Source organism: Homo sapiens, chromosome 3 (assembly GCF_000001405.40).
Source record: "Homo sapiens chromosome 3, GRCh38.p14 Primary Assembly".
NCBI lineage: Eukaryota > Metazoa > Chordata > Mammalia > Primates > Hominidae > Homo > Homo sapiens.
Genome location: NC_000003.12, coordinates 109,035,730 through 109,050,531, shown reverse-complemented (window position 1 = coordinate 109,050,531; position 14,802 = coordinate 109,035,730). Strand labels below are relative to the sequence as shown.

Here is a 14,802-nt window from a genome sequence, read left to right as displayed (position 1 = left end):
AGCAACTGGGACTTTACGGGGGTGATGAGATCATGAGAGCAGAGCCTTCGTGATTGGCATTAGTGTATTTATAAAGGAGGTCCAAGAGAGACCCCTTATCCCCTTCTCCATGTGATGTTCAAGTGAGAGACAGCCATCTAAGAACCAGGAAGCAAGCCCTCACCAGACTCAGAATCTGGCTGTGCCTTGAACTCGGACTTCCCAGTCTCCAGAACTGTGAGAAATAAATGTGTTATTTATAAGCCACTTAGTCTATAGTATTTTGTTAAAAGCAACTGAATGGACTAAGACACAGGCTAACACGATTTGACAATTAGAAATAGGATTAGTGCCCAACAGAGAAGAATGAAAACTGCAGAAACCAGTGGCCAGGAGCCCACAGTCTGTAGGCCGGGGAAGGCCTCCCTGAGGAAGTGATATTCCTAAAGGTTGGGGAGGGGTTAGCTGGGTCTCCTGAGTTCTTCCTGCTTGGGGCCCAGGAGGATAGGCCTAAAGCTTTTCCAAATGGCAGCCCCCCCAGGTATTTGAAGACAAGATTATGTCTCTCTTCAGTCTTTGTTTAATCTTGACTAACACTTCCAAGTTCAAGAATAGTAATTATTCTTCATTTGACATGGTATTAAATATATTTACCGTCCTAGTATTGTATTTTAAAGTGTATCATCTGGAAACAAAATGTGCCAGATGAAACCTGAACAGCCTTGACTGAAATGGGATCCTCATCTTTCTTTTGAGTTGTTGGAATCTTATTGGTACACCTAATAATATGTGAACTCTCCGTAAACACATTATTGACCCTCAGTGTCCCCCTTACCATTAAAGTTTTTAACAAAAATATTAATATGTGTTCTTGTAAAGCCATACCTCTCTTTTCTTATTTTTTCCAGTAAGTGGTTTTGAGCCCTAGTGTAGAATCATACATTTATCCCTCGTAAAGTTTATCGCCTTATTAGGCCTCATTCTTTCAGGTTGTAATGACCTTTTTTTTGGAATCTAATGCTAACTTCTAACTAATGTGTTATATTCCCAGATTTACGTAAAGTCTGGCTAGTATTTTCTCTATGACTTCATGTAAACCCTGTTGCATAGGACAGGAAAATCAGACCCTGGCCTTCTATCAGTGATCTCCACTGAGTAAAAGTGGGTACCTTGGGACATGTTTTCCTGATTATGCTATCACCTAACCCTTGTCAATTACCCAGTTTGTGCATAATTTTGAAAGTGAGAAATAATATTTGTTACATGAATATTTTCCTTAAAACATAGACAATGCTGTAGTACCTGGATGTAGCTAGTTGCTCACAACAGAATTTTGTTTTCCATATGATGCAATTTAGTCTCTAAGATCTCAGAAAGGGACTACCAGGAAAATGAATATAACAGCTTTGCTAAGGATACACGTCGAGTGATGAAGCAAATATTAAAAGGTGAGAATATGAGACAAGTTTATTTGCAGATGTAGTCTGAGAAACAGTTCATATCTTTTTAATTCAGTTTTTGAAGTTAAAGATTTTATGTATGTACCCGTTTTACTTAAAAATATTATCAATATTATATTTTATATTACTTTTAAATTTATTATGGTGTTATAGGCTGAATTGTATTCCTTTCAAATTCATAAGTTGAAGCCCTAGCTCCCAGTAGCTCGGGCTGTATTTGGAGATAGGGCCTTTAAGAAATAGTTAATTTAAAATGGAGTCGTTTGGGTGGGCCCTAATGCAGTCTGACTAGTGTCCTCATAAGAAGAGGAAATTCATACACAAAGAGACATACCAGGGATAGGTGCACACAAAGAAAAAAACATGTGAGGACACAGGGAGAAGGTGACCATCTGTAAGCAAAGTAGGGAAGCCTCAGAAGAAACCAAGCCTGCCAATACCTTGATCTTGGGCTTCCAGCCTCCAGAATAGTGAGAAAATAAATAAACTTCTGTTGTTTAGGCCGCCCAGTCTGTGGTATTTTTTCACGGCAGCCCTAGCAAACTAATACATATGGGAGATTTCAAAATTAGAATTAAAGAGAATATTATAATGAAACTCTATAAACCCATCAGCCAGCCTCAGTGATCAACTTGTAGGTGAACTGGTTTCATCTGTAGCCCAACTATTCCCCCACAACTGGATTATGAAGGCAGTCTCAGACCCTGTATAATTATATCCCTAAGTATTTTAGCATTCATTTCTAAAAGTAAGTACTGTTTAAAAACCACATTACAAATATCATTACCTAAAAGTTATTACCTTCTTAATATAATAAAATATCCAGTCTGTTGTTCATATTTCTAATTATCTCCTGTCATAAACTGCAAGGTTCTTTCTCTATCGCTGTCTCACACTCTCTCCCTCTTCCACTCCCCTCCTCTCTGTTCTTCCTTAAGTTTATTTGTAAGAAAACCAGATTGGTTGTCTTATAGTTATCACACAGTCTAGATTTTGCTCACTGCATTACTAGGAGTAGTTCAACAGGTTCTTCCATTGTGTTCATTTTTATTTAAATTGGTAGACTAGCAGCTTGCCCATTCAGATGTGGCTTTTTGTCAAGATGTTTCATAGGTGGTAGTGTGTTCTTCCATTGTGAGGCTGATTGTCTCTCTTTTAATGATATTAGCAGTCATGATCAATGCGTAGATTCCTTAGGAGTTCAAAAAATTATATTCTCATTCTATTATGTTTTCTTCATCAGCTCTAATACTTCTATAAGGAAAAACTGTCTTTCATCTACTACTTGGTTACCCTTGTTGGTATTTTTACTGTTTAACAGAAGCAACTGAACTCTATACTGCTAAAGAATTGCTTTGGATAAAAGCTTGATGTGAAAAGAGTAAGAGACAATTAAAAGATTAAAATATGATATAGACATTTTGCCTAATTGATTTACATGACATAAATATGTACTCTGTTTAAAATAATTACTTCATGTCAGCTCCCAGCAAATAAAAAGATGGTTCAGGAGTTCATCAAATTGACTGTTGGAAAAAAAAAACCACATTCTTAGATTTAATTCATTTACATTGCTTTCAGCTGGTAATTGAAATTACTACCATTGAAAGCACTTATGCTTCCTTTCTGACTGTACCTGTATTATCATGATAATGACATTTTTTACATCTACAATGAAGTTTTTTGCTAAAATATCTCCGAGGATCTCAGCCGTATTGCAAATAAAATACTAAAAAGTTTAGGACCCTTATTCTTTCTGGAATTCAATAAAATTTGATTCTTATAGTTTGATTTTTCCCTGCCATACCTAAAGGAAGACCTCAAAACTCTCCTCATCAGCCTGCTTAAGAAGAGTAAGTTATATTTAATGAGTCTGAATTTAAAACTGCAATCAGAAACCTAATGTACAATATGAGGACTGTAGGTAATACAGTTGTACTGTATATGGGAGTTTGTGGTTTGGTAAACAGTTCACTTCCCTGTAATAAAGCAGCTCACAATGCATCTTTGAAGTAATATGCTGAGATTCATCTTTTAAACGTGTACATGTAAACTCTTTCCATTATGGCTTTAAACACAATGGTAAGGAATGTCTTTGAAAATCATGTTTTAAACACTTGCTTATGAAGTTCACAGTTTGCTAAATGGTTCATTTCACTATAATAAAGCAGCTCACAATGCATCTTTGAAGAAAAAAAAGTACTGTATATGGGACTTACACTGAGTAGGTTTTAGCTGCTCTTGCTACAAAAACAAGAAAAATAGGTAGCTGTGTGAAATGGATATATTAATTTATTTCACTGTAGTAACCCTTTTACTATCTGTATGTATCCTATAACACATGTTGTATACTTTAAATACACACAATAAAGTTTATTTTAAAATATTCCTCTAATCCATTAAAAATAAAATAATGTAGACAATTAAGCATACATTGTATTAATAAAAATCAAATATGGGTCTTTAGGCTTTTAGGAGCATTAGTTTAGTCAGTAGGCTTCATGTATATCTTGAGTAAGGAGAGTTCTAGTAGAAAGGTAGTCTAACCCAGGTATTGGGGACACATACAGAGCTGACTAGGCTATTGCCCATGATAACACAGAATTCCTTAGGAATACACTTTGGACTTGATTTTTATGTCTAGTTTTGATTTCCACATTTTAGAGGGAAACTGGAATATATCCAAAGGAGAGCAGTGACAATGACTAAATAAAAATATAACCTAAAAAAAGAAGGTCAAATTTATTTCTTCTTGAAGAAAGAACCAGGAGAAACATAATTTTCCCCAGTGTTGTTTTTGAAGATTTGCCGTAATGAGGCCTGTAGCCCTCTCCCTTCTAGTCTCCACGCACAGCATCATGTGGTTCCCAACTGGGAGCCAAAATGCCCTAGGGAATCTCAGAGTATACCAGGGAGTCCATGAATTCCTAAGTCTACAAATAATTGTCTAAGATGGCGTTATGCCTCATACATCTATATGCTATAGATTTTTATATGTATAGAGATGTAGTTGTGGGTAGTAAAATATAAAATTACTCAGTGTTATTAAATTCATAATTTGTTTATTTTTTGTCATCATATATTTTCTTAGGTTGAGGGTGGGGGTTCTAAAAGTTTCTTGCAGCATACGGAGGTCCTCACACTTAAGAAGGTGGGTAACCAGTGATACGGAACTAGAGAAAATGATGCTACATGGCCATGTCAAATGAGGAAGCTGACATTTGGAGTGAATTGGGCCAGCTGCAGACTACTGGAGTTTTGCAGGGGAGCGTACTGTGCTTACAGTAGAGTGGAGAAGTGGAAATGTTCTGACAGCAGCTGCCACATAACTTTTGCCACTGACTGGACTCATAACATGAGACTAGCACAACCGCATGCCACCATACCCAGGAGCCAAGAGAAAGGGAAGAAGGACTGTAGCATCTTCACCACCACTGAATATATCTTGTCTTGCTTTTTTTCACTTCAAGTAGACCACCTTGGGAAGTGAAAAACAAACAGGGATAGCAAATAGGCCTCAATTACCCTTGCACCACACACTAAATCATCATGGCAATTCTTCCTGATAAACGGCAGTTGGCCTCATGGTTCTTCTCAACAGTGTACCAGGCATCATTACCAACTGATTGGAGTTGACATTATCAATTGAAACCAGTTTGTCATCCCTAATCCAGAGCTTTCATTAAGAACAAAGATGATAAGCGATCCCACCTTGGACCAGATTAGGAAGGGTCTGATGCCTGGCTGTTACATTAGCTTTAAATGAGAGGGGTAATGACAAACAGGACAGTATTCAACAGAGGAGGAAGAGTGATTTAACTGTTCCCTGAGAAAAGGTATGAAATTTCGATCTCAGGAGATCTTTAGAATATAATCATCTATTTAGATGCAGAACCACCTGAAAGTGGGAACTGATTTAACATTCTCCAGGTATACCATTTTTCTGGTGCTTTGAGTTTATAAACTGTTTCAGGCCTCCTTATTTTGATGGAGACCATCAAAGCTTTGCTGTGGTAGTTTACTATTGAATTTGATTGAGTCTCTCCTAGGCTCACTGATTCCCTGAATGTCATTGTATGTTCTATGAACAGATACAAAACTGACATCTAAGAGGATGTTGTATTTCTTTTTCTTTTTTTTTTTTTTTTGAGACAGAGTCTCACTCTGTTGCCTAGGCTGGAGTGCAGTGGCATGATCTCCGCTCACTGCAACCTCCACCTCCTGGCTTCAAGCAATTCTCCTGCCTAAGCCTCCCAAGTAGCTGGGATTACAGATGCCCGCCACCACACCTGGCTAATTTTTTGTGTTTTAGTAGAGACAGAGTTTCACCATGTTGGTCAGGCTGGTCTTGAACTCCTGACCTTGAATGAGCTGCTCACCTCAGCTTCCCAAAGTGCTGGGATTACAGGCATGAGCCACCATGCCCCACACATTTCTCTTATTTTTAAGAGGCAAAATATGTGTCAGCTGCTCTTGTAGTTACTGGTTTTTGGCAAATTTTCAGTAAATTATTGCAGTATTTCCTTTTTTTTTTTGAGGTGGAGTCTCGCTCTGTTGCCCAGGCTGGAGTGCAGTGGCGTGATATCGGCTCACTGCAAGCTCTGCCTCCTGGGTTCACGCCATTCTCCTGCCTCAGCCTCCCAAGTAGCTGGGACTACAGGTGCCCGCCACCATGCCTGGCTAATTTTTTGTATTTTTAGTAGAGATGGGGTTTCACTGTGTTAGCCAGGATGGTCTGGATCTCCTGACCTCGCGATCCGCCCGCCTCAGCCTCCCAAAGTGCTGGGATTACAAGTATTTCCCTTTTTTTTTTCCCCAGGTGCTTGGTTTAAAGAGGCTCCTGAACAATTCATTAGATTAATTTAAATATTAGGAATCTACTGAATAAAGTATTCCATACATAGCTGGCAGTAAATTAACCTTTCAGTTTTTTTCTCACAGATACTTCTTCTAGAAATTGAGAATTTAATTCTGTGTGCATTAATCCCGGATTATCCTATTAATTTAATGAGCTTATTGGTTCTTCATACAAAAGTCTTAAGATATGTACTCTTTTATAATTTTGAAAATTAGCTGTGTGCTTTCAGCCATCTACTCTTTGTAGTAGTAAACTGAATTTTTTAATCGACCTATCTTGAGGATGTTAAAATAATTTATAATTTTGGAGTTAATGAATTTGGGGTTATCTGCATGGCTCTTTTTATAGGTGGATAGAAATATTTTGGTTAATGTTTTTTGGAAGAGACATTATTCCACTTTCATTTTATTTCAGACAACATATTAATGAGGCATTTTGTCAAGAATAGCAGCAACGTTGGTTGAGGGCTTGTTAGGTGCAGGATGCCGACCTACAAGTTGAAGACATGCAGAATTATAAAGCACACTTCCTCCTTTGGAAAAGTGCAGTGCTCATGGAGAAGTAACTTTTAAAGAGGAAAAATACGTGACAACAGCAAACTTAAATTTCTGCAGGGCTCTTTTGTGTTTTTTTTCTTTTTTTTTCATTATGATGAAATACATATAACATGAAATTTACCATCTTAACCACTTTTAAGTGTACAGTTGAGTAATGTTAAGGACATTTAAATGCTGTACAACTGTCACTACCATCCATCTCTAAAACTCTTTTCATCTTGCACAACTAAAATGCTATACCCATGAAACAATAGCTCCCAATTCCCCGCTTTTCCATCCTCTGACAACCACCATTCTACTTTCTGTCTCTATGATTTTGACTACTCTAAGTACCTCATGTAAGTGGAACAATACAGTATTTATCCTTTTCTGACTGGCTTATTTCACTTAGCATAATGTCCTCAAAGTTCATCCATGTTATAGCATATGTCAAATTCCCTTCATTTTTAAGGCTGAATAATATTCTGTTATACACACCCCCCCCCCCCCACATTTTGCCACATTTTGCTTATCCATTCATCTGTGGATAGACACTTGAGTTGCTTCCATGTTTTAGCTATTGTGAATAATGTTACTATGAAGATGGGTATACACATTTCTCTTCAAGGCCCTGTGTTTTTTAAAAGCAATTTTCAAGTACATAACATATTGTTATTAATTATAGTCACAATGATGTACAATAGATCTTCTGAACTTATTTATCCTGCCTAACTAAAATTGTGTATCCTTTTACCAACATCTCCCCAACCCCCTCCCCCAGCCTCTGGTAACCATCATTCTACTCTGTGCTTCTATGAGTTTGACTTTTTAAGATTTCACATATAAATGAAATATACAGTATTTGTCTTTCAGTGCCTGGCTTATTTCACTTAACGTAATGTTCACCAGGTTCATTCATGGCTTTGCAAATGACATTTCCTTCTTTTAAAAGGCTAAATAGTATTCCATTGTATAGGTACCACATGTTCTGAAACCCTTTATCTATTGATGGACATGTAGATTGATCCCATATCTTAGCTATTTATAAATAGTGCTGCAATGAATATGGGTGTGCAGGTATCTCTTTAACATACTGATTTCATTTCCTTTGGATAAATATACAGAAGAGGACATGCTGGATCATATAGTAGTTCTATTTTTAATTTTTGAAGGAAACTCCATATTATTTTTCATAATGGCTACACTAATTCATACTCTTGCCACCAGTGTTAGGGTTTGTTTCTATCCGCATCCTTGCCAACACTTACCTTTCATGTCTTTGGTAATAGTCATTCTAACAGGTATGAGGTGATATCTCCCTGTGGTTTTAATTTGTATTTCCCAGGTGCTTAGTCACATGGAGCATTTAAAAAATATATACGTGTTGGCCACTTATATGTCTTCTTTTGAAAATTGAGACCCTGCTTTAAGTTCTTTTGTGTATATACCCAGCAGTGGAATTGCCAGATCACATGGTAATTCTATTTTTAATTTTTTGAGGAACTACCATATTCTTTTCCACAGTGGCCACACCATTTTACTTCCCACCGACTGGGTTCTTTCCCACAAAATAATCCTAATCCTAATGAGTAGGATTCTAATGAGTATAAAGTGGTATCTCATTGCAGTTTATTTGAATAGTCTCTCCCTTTCTTTCTCTCATTTCTTCTAGGGTTTCCATAAGGTGTATAATGGCTTACTTGATGATGTCTAGTTCTTAGGCTCTGTTCACTTTTATTCAATTTTTTTTTTTTTGAGATGGAGTCTCACTCTGTTGCCCAGGCTGGAGTGTAGTGGCACAATCTCGGCTCACTGCAACCTCTACCTCCTGGGTTCAAACAATTCTCATGCTTTGAGATAGAGTCTTAGTCTGTCACCAGGCTGGAGTGCAATGGCACGATCTCAGCTCATTGCAACCTCCGCCTTCTGGTTCAAGCAATTCTCCTGCCTCAGCCTCCTGAGTCGCTGGGACTACAGGTATGCGCCACCACACCCAGCTAACTTTTGTATTTTTAGTAGAGACGTGGTTTCGCCATGTTAGCCAGGTTGGTCTTGATCTCTTGACCTCATGAGCTGCCCGCCTTGGCCTCTGAAAGTGCTGGGATTACAGGCTTGAGCCATGGCGCCCGGGCTAATTTTTTTGCATTTTTAGTAGAGATGGGGTTTACCATGTTGGCCAGGCTGGTCTTGAACTCCTGATCTCAGGTGATCCGCCCACCTCGGCCTCCCAAAGTGCTAGAATTACAGGTGTGAGCCACTGTGCCTGGCCACTTTTATTCAATATTTTTTTGTTGTTGTTCATTAGACTTAGTTTTCATTATTCTGTATTAAAGTTCACTTCTGTGTTCAGATTTTCTCTTCTGCTTTCTCTTTTTTTTCTTTTTTTTTGAGATGGAGTCTTTGTCTGTCGCCCAGGCTGGAGTGCAGTGGCGCGATCTCGGCTCACTGCAAGCTCTGCCTCCCAGATTCACGCCATTTTCCTGCTTCAGCCTCCTGAGTAGCTGGGACTACAGGCGCCCGCCACCACGCCTGGCTATTTTTTTGTATTTTTAGTAGAGACGGGGTTTCACCATGTTGGCCAGGATGGTCTTGATCTCTGGACCTTGTGATCCACCCACCTTGGCCTCCCAAAGTGCTGGGATTACAGGCGTGAGCCACCACACCTGGTGGCTCTTCTCTTCTGCTTTCTCAAATCTGACTCTGTATCCCTCTAGTGATTTTTAAATTTCAGTTACAGTATTTTTTCAGCTCCATAATTTCTATTTTCTTTTTAAGTTCTATATTTCTTTATGATATTTACATTTTGTTCATACATCATTTTCTTGACTTTTTCACATTTCTTTCTTTCTTTTTTTTTTTTTTTTTTTTTGACACAGAGTTTTACTCTGTCAGCCAGTCTGGAGTGCAGTGGCACAATCTGTGCTCACTGCAACCTCTGCCTCCCAGTTTCAAGAGATTCTCATGCCTCAGCCACCCAGGTAGTTGGGATTACAGGTGTGTGCCACCACACCTGGCTAATTTTTGTATTTTTAGTAGAGATGGGGTTTCACCATGTTGATCAGGCTGATCTCAAACTCCTGACCCCAGGTAATCCACCTGCCTCAGCTTCCCACAGTGCTGGGATTACAGGCATGAGCCACTGTGCCTGGCCTTCTTTTTTCTTTCTTTATTTCTTTGTTTCTTTCTTCCTTCCTTCCTTTCTTTTCTTTCCTTTCTTTCTTTCTTTCTTTCTTTCTTTCTTTCTTTCTTTCTTTCTTTCTTTCTTTCTTTCCTTCCTTCCTTCCTTCCTTCCTTCTCTTTCTTTCTTTCTTTCTTTCTTTCTTTCTTTCTTTCTTTCTTTCTTTCAGTTCTTTGAGTGTCTTTGAGACAGTCATTTTAAGGTCTTTGTCTGGTAGATCTGCCATCAGGTGTTTTTCAGGCACAATTTCTGTTGATTCATTCTTTTGCTTGGAATGTGCCATACTTTCCTGTTTCTACGTATGACTTGTGATTTCTTTTTTTGCCGAAAACTGGACATTTGAATCTAACAGTGTTGTATTTCCGGAAATCAGAGTCTCTTCCTTCTCTAAGACTTACTGTTTTTTGTTGTTGTTGTTGTTTAAATTGTTGTAGGCTCTCTCTGTGCAGATCAGCCTGAGCTATACACTTAAGGTTTTCTTGGGTTTTTCTGAGCCTGAGCCTGTGCCTTTGCCTGGACACGTGCAGTGACTTCCTAATTTCCTCTCTACATGTAGCAGCTTTTGGATGCACTAGTCTTCAATGTCTGGTTTCCATAAGGTGAAAAGGAGATAAATGAAAGGAGGTAAAAAAAAGACACCAGTCCCTTAAATCCCCTGGAATTCACTCCAGCTAGAAGGGGAGGGGCTTGCAACCATGAGGGAGAGGCATAACAAAAATGGCCTTCACCTCTTCATCTATACTTCTGTGATCATAGCCAGTAATCAGTGATCAGAGCAGGAGTCCCCATTATTTGGAGGACAGGGTCTTTTTTTCTCCCCACCCTAATTTCAGCAAGCTGTGTGAAAGATCTTCCGGGAACATGGAGTGTAGGATGGGTAGCTACTACTGGCTGAGAGCTGAAATGACGGAAATTAACTGCAATTTAATATCCATCCCTTCCCCTGAAAGTTGTAAGCCTTCAGTAGACTCCAGAGTTCCCAAATAGTTACATGAGATTCTGCCAGTGCAGTTTTTGTCTAGGTGGTGAAACAGACTTCTGATGCTTCCTACTCTATCTTCTTCCCAGAATCCTCCAAGTTTTATAGTTTTTAGTGTGCCTTCACATTTATTCTTTGTGATAAATTTGCAAGGCAGGTTACTGCAGTCACTCACTTGATAGATGAGAAAGTTTAGTGGCTTGCCCACAACTATACAACTAATATGTAACAGAACCAGCACTCAAATCCATGTTTCTTTTAATCTACAGCACCCTCTGCTTTGATATAGTAAATACTAAATAGTTAATGTAGAAATCAGAGAAGCAGGCGGGGCACGGTGGCTCACGCCTGTAATCCTAGCACTTTGGGAGGCTGAGGCGGGTGGATCACTTCAGGTCAGGAGTTCAAGACCAACCTGGCCAACATGGTGAAGTCCATCTCTACTAAAAATACAAAAATTAGCCAGGCATTATGCTTCACACCTGTAATCCCAGCTATTCAGGAGGCTGAGTCATGAGAATTGCTTGAACCCAGGAGGCAGAGGTTGCAGTGAGCCAAGATCACACCACTGCACTTCAGCCTGAGTGAAGGAGTGAGACTCTGTCTTAACAAAAAAAGAGCCTGTATAGCCAAGACAATCCTAAGCAAAAAGAACAAAGCTGGAGGCATCGCGCTACCTGACTTCAAACTATACTACAAGGCTACAGTAACCAAAACAGCATGGTACTGGTACCAAAACAGATATATAGACCAATGGAACAGAACAGAGTCCTCAGAAATAACACCACACATCTGCAACCATCTGGTCTTTGACAAACCTGACAAAAACAAGAAATGGGGAAAGGATTCCCTATTTAATAAATAGTGCTGGGAAAACTGGCTAGCCATATGAAGAAAGCCGAAAGTGGATCCCTTCCTTACACCCTTTACAAAAATTAACTCAAGATGGATTAAAGACTTAAACGTAAGACCTAAAACCATAAAAACCCTAGAAGAAAACCTAGGCAATACCATTCAGGACATAGGCATGGACAAAGGCTTCATGACTAAAACACAAAAAGCAATGGCAACAAAAGCCAAAATAGACAAATGGGATCTAATTAAACTGAAGAGCTTCAGCACAGCAAAAGAAACTACCATCAGAGTGAACAGGCAACCTGCAGAATGGGAGAAAATGTTTGCAATCTACCCATCTGGCAAAGGACTAATATCAGAATCTACAAAGAATTTAAACAAATTTACAAAAAAAAAAAACCCCATCAACAAGTGGGCAAAGGATATGAACAGACATTTCTCAAAAGAAGACATTTATGCAGACAACAGACAAATGAAAAAATGCTCATCATCACTGCTCATCAGAGAAATGCAAATCAGAACCACAGTGAGATACCATCTCATACCAGTTAAAATGGTGATCATTAAAAAGTCATGAAACAACACACACTGGAGAGGATGTGGAGAAATAGGAATGCTTTTACACTGTTGGTGGGAGTGTAAATTAGTTCAACCATTGTGGAAGACAGTGTGGCAATTCCTCAAGGATCTAGGGCTAGAAATACCATTTGACCCAGCAATCCCATTACTGGGTATATACCCAAAGGATTAGAAATCATGCTGCTATAAAGACACATGCACATGTATGTTTACTGAGGAACTATTCACAATAGCAAAGACTTGGAACCAACCCAAATGTCCATCAATGATAGACTAGATAAAGAAAATGTGGCGCATATACACCATGGAATACTATGCTGCCATAAAAAAGGATGAGTTCATATCCTTTGCAGGGACATGGATGAAGCCAGAAACTATCATTCTGAGCAAACTATAACAAGGACAGAAAACCAAACACCTCATGTTCTCACTCATAGGTGGGAATTGAACAATGAGAACACTTGGACACAGGGAGGGGAACATAACACACCAGGGCCTGTCAGGGGGTGGGGGAGCTGGGAGAGAGATAGTATTAGGAGAAATACCTAATGTAAACGACGAGTTGATGGGTGCAGCAAACCAACATGGCACATGTATGCCTACGTAACAAACCTGCACGTTGTGCACATGTACCCTAGAACTTAAAGTATAATTAAAAACACACAAACACATAGAAAGAAATCAGAGAAGCAAAACCTCATCAACCCTTCTAGATACCAGGGAGTAGTACATCAGGAGCTGGTGTACAGAGAAGAAGAGTATGAGATGAACCAAGACAGTTCCACTGTTAACAAGTCCATGTGACGCTACCCTCAAAGGCTAAGGAAGCTGAGAGGCCGAAGAAAGAGGCTGACAAATCCAGTTTCTTAGAAAGAAACATTTAATAGGGTCTTAGGAACAAAAGCTATGTCTTAGGCTGTGGTGAGATAAGAATGGTGGATCCCTGTGCCATTAACCCCCAGACCCAGGACTTAAAAACCGTAGGGAAAGAATGTGTAGGACAATTGAAGTCAACCCCTCAGTGAATTGTAAGAATGCAATGTGAATCTACCTAATTCCAGGTTTTATGGTCAAGGGTTGTTTTGACCTAAGGGAAGGATTTACAGTAACAGTAGATAAAGTAGAAATTTTAGAGGCATTTCCAGAACAGGGGTTAATCATAAGTCAACACGGCAGATTAGTATTTAAGATGGAATTGCTTGATTCTCCACAAAAACCAAATACTGGGCCAAGAGAAGAAACTGAAAGTCTGAATTAAAAGCCCCAAAAGCCAAATCCAAAGGAAAATTTGGAGCAAGAGCAGCTGGGGATTTTGTGAAGAGACAAGAGGGCAGACCTGAGAATTTGTGAGGTCTGCTTAGCCCAGCCCAACTGTGAAGACCCTTTTGAAAGCTGAGTTCTTTCTCTGCTGATCTCTAAGCCCCATAGCACCCTGAGCCAAAATTTTAACAGGAATAATAAAGTGTTAGGTCATTTATTTGCATTTTTCATGGATTACATAGCCGTATGTTAAGGTTGTTGTAAGGCTGGTACCATGGTTAGTGGTTATCATATTGGACAAAACAGTCAAACATGGATTCTTTTTTTTTCTTTAAATTTTATATGCACATGTACAGATACTCAAAGTGCTAAGAAAAATAAAAAGTGAAAAGTAAAAGTATTTTCCCTTGCCTTCCTCTCCACCTCTCTTTCTGCTCTAAAGATATCCACTGTTAAAACTTTCTTTTGTATCCATTCAGGAAAATGTGCATCGCAATTTTATATGGACAGGCTTTTCATACATTACATAAAGTGATTACACTAGGGATACTCTTTGATATATATATATTTTTAAAAAATTAAAACTTTAACTTGGAGATCTTGATGCAACACTACATTTAGCTCTACTTCCTCCGTTTTAAAGGTTTCCCACTGTTCCATTTTTGGGGAACAGAATTTGTCAGTTCTTTATTCATATGCTTTTACATTATCTCCAACTTTTTACTAGTCGAGCAATGCTATAATATACATGGCAACTTATGTATGTGTGTAAGGATAATTCCTAACAGTATAATTGCTGGATCAAAGAATAAGAACAAAACGACTCTCTAACAGTCCTCCATGATGAGTAGTGTTTTCAAGCAAGGAGGAAATACACAATTTGGGGATAGGATAGTGCATAAACAATAAAGACTGGAGAGAAAAGGAACCAGAGATAAAATAAAGATTAAAAACCCCACCTCTGTCTGTGAGATAAGAAAGATAAATATTTCTATCAATAATTTTAAGAGTGCCCTTTAAAGTTTAATCAGTACAGTCTTTCCTGGGAATGCTTAAGAACAATGCTTTAAATGTCAATATGTTTTATTGCATAAACACATAACTTTTAAAATACATGC

At 38.6% G+C, this 14,802-nt stretch overlaps 1 protein-coding gene across 11 annotated transcripts in view; it reads left to right on the top strand.

The window, feature by feature from the left end:
* Positions 1-14,802, top strand: part of MORC1 (MORC family CW-type zinc finger 1) — a 159,887-nt gene that overhangs the window by 67,603 nt on the left and 77,482 nt on the right. For 7 of the 11 annotated variants that reach the window (XM_005247362.3, XM_011512693.2, XM_011512691.2 and 4 more), the window contains one exon: positions 1,338-1,427. The exons of the other annotated variants lie outside the window; for them this stretch is intronic. In XM_005247362.3, the coding sequence (XP_005247419.1) occupies positions 1,338-1,427 (90 nt within the window). The remainder of the gene's footprint in view (positions 1-1,337; positions 1,428-14,802) is intronic. 11 annotated transcript variants of the gene reach the window in all.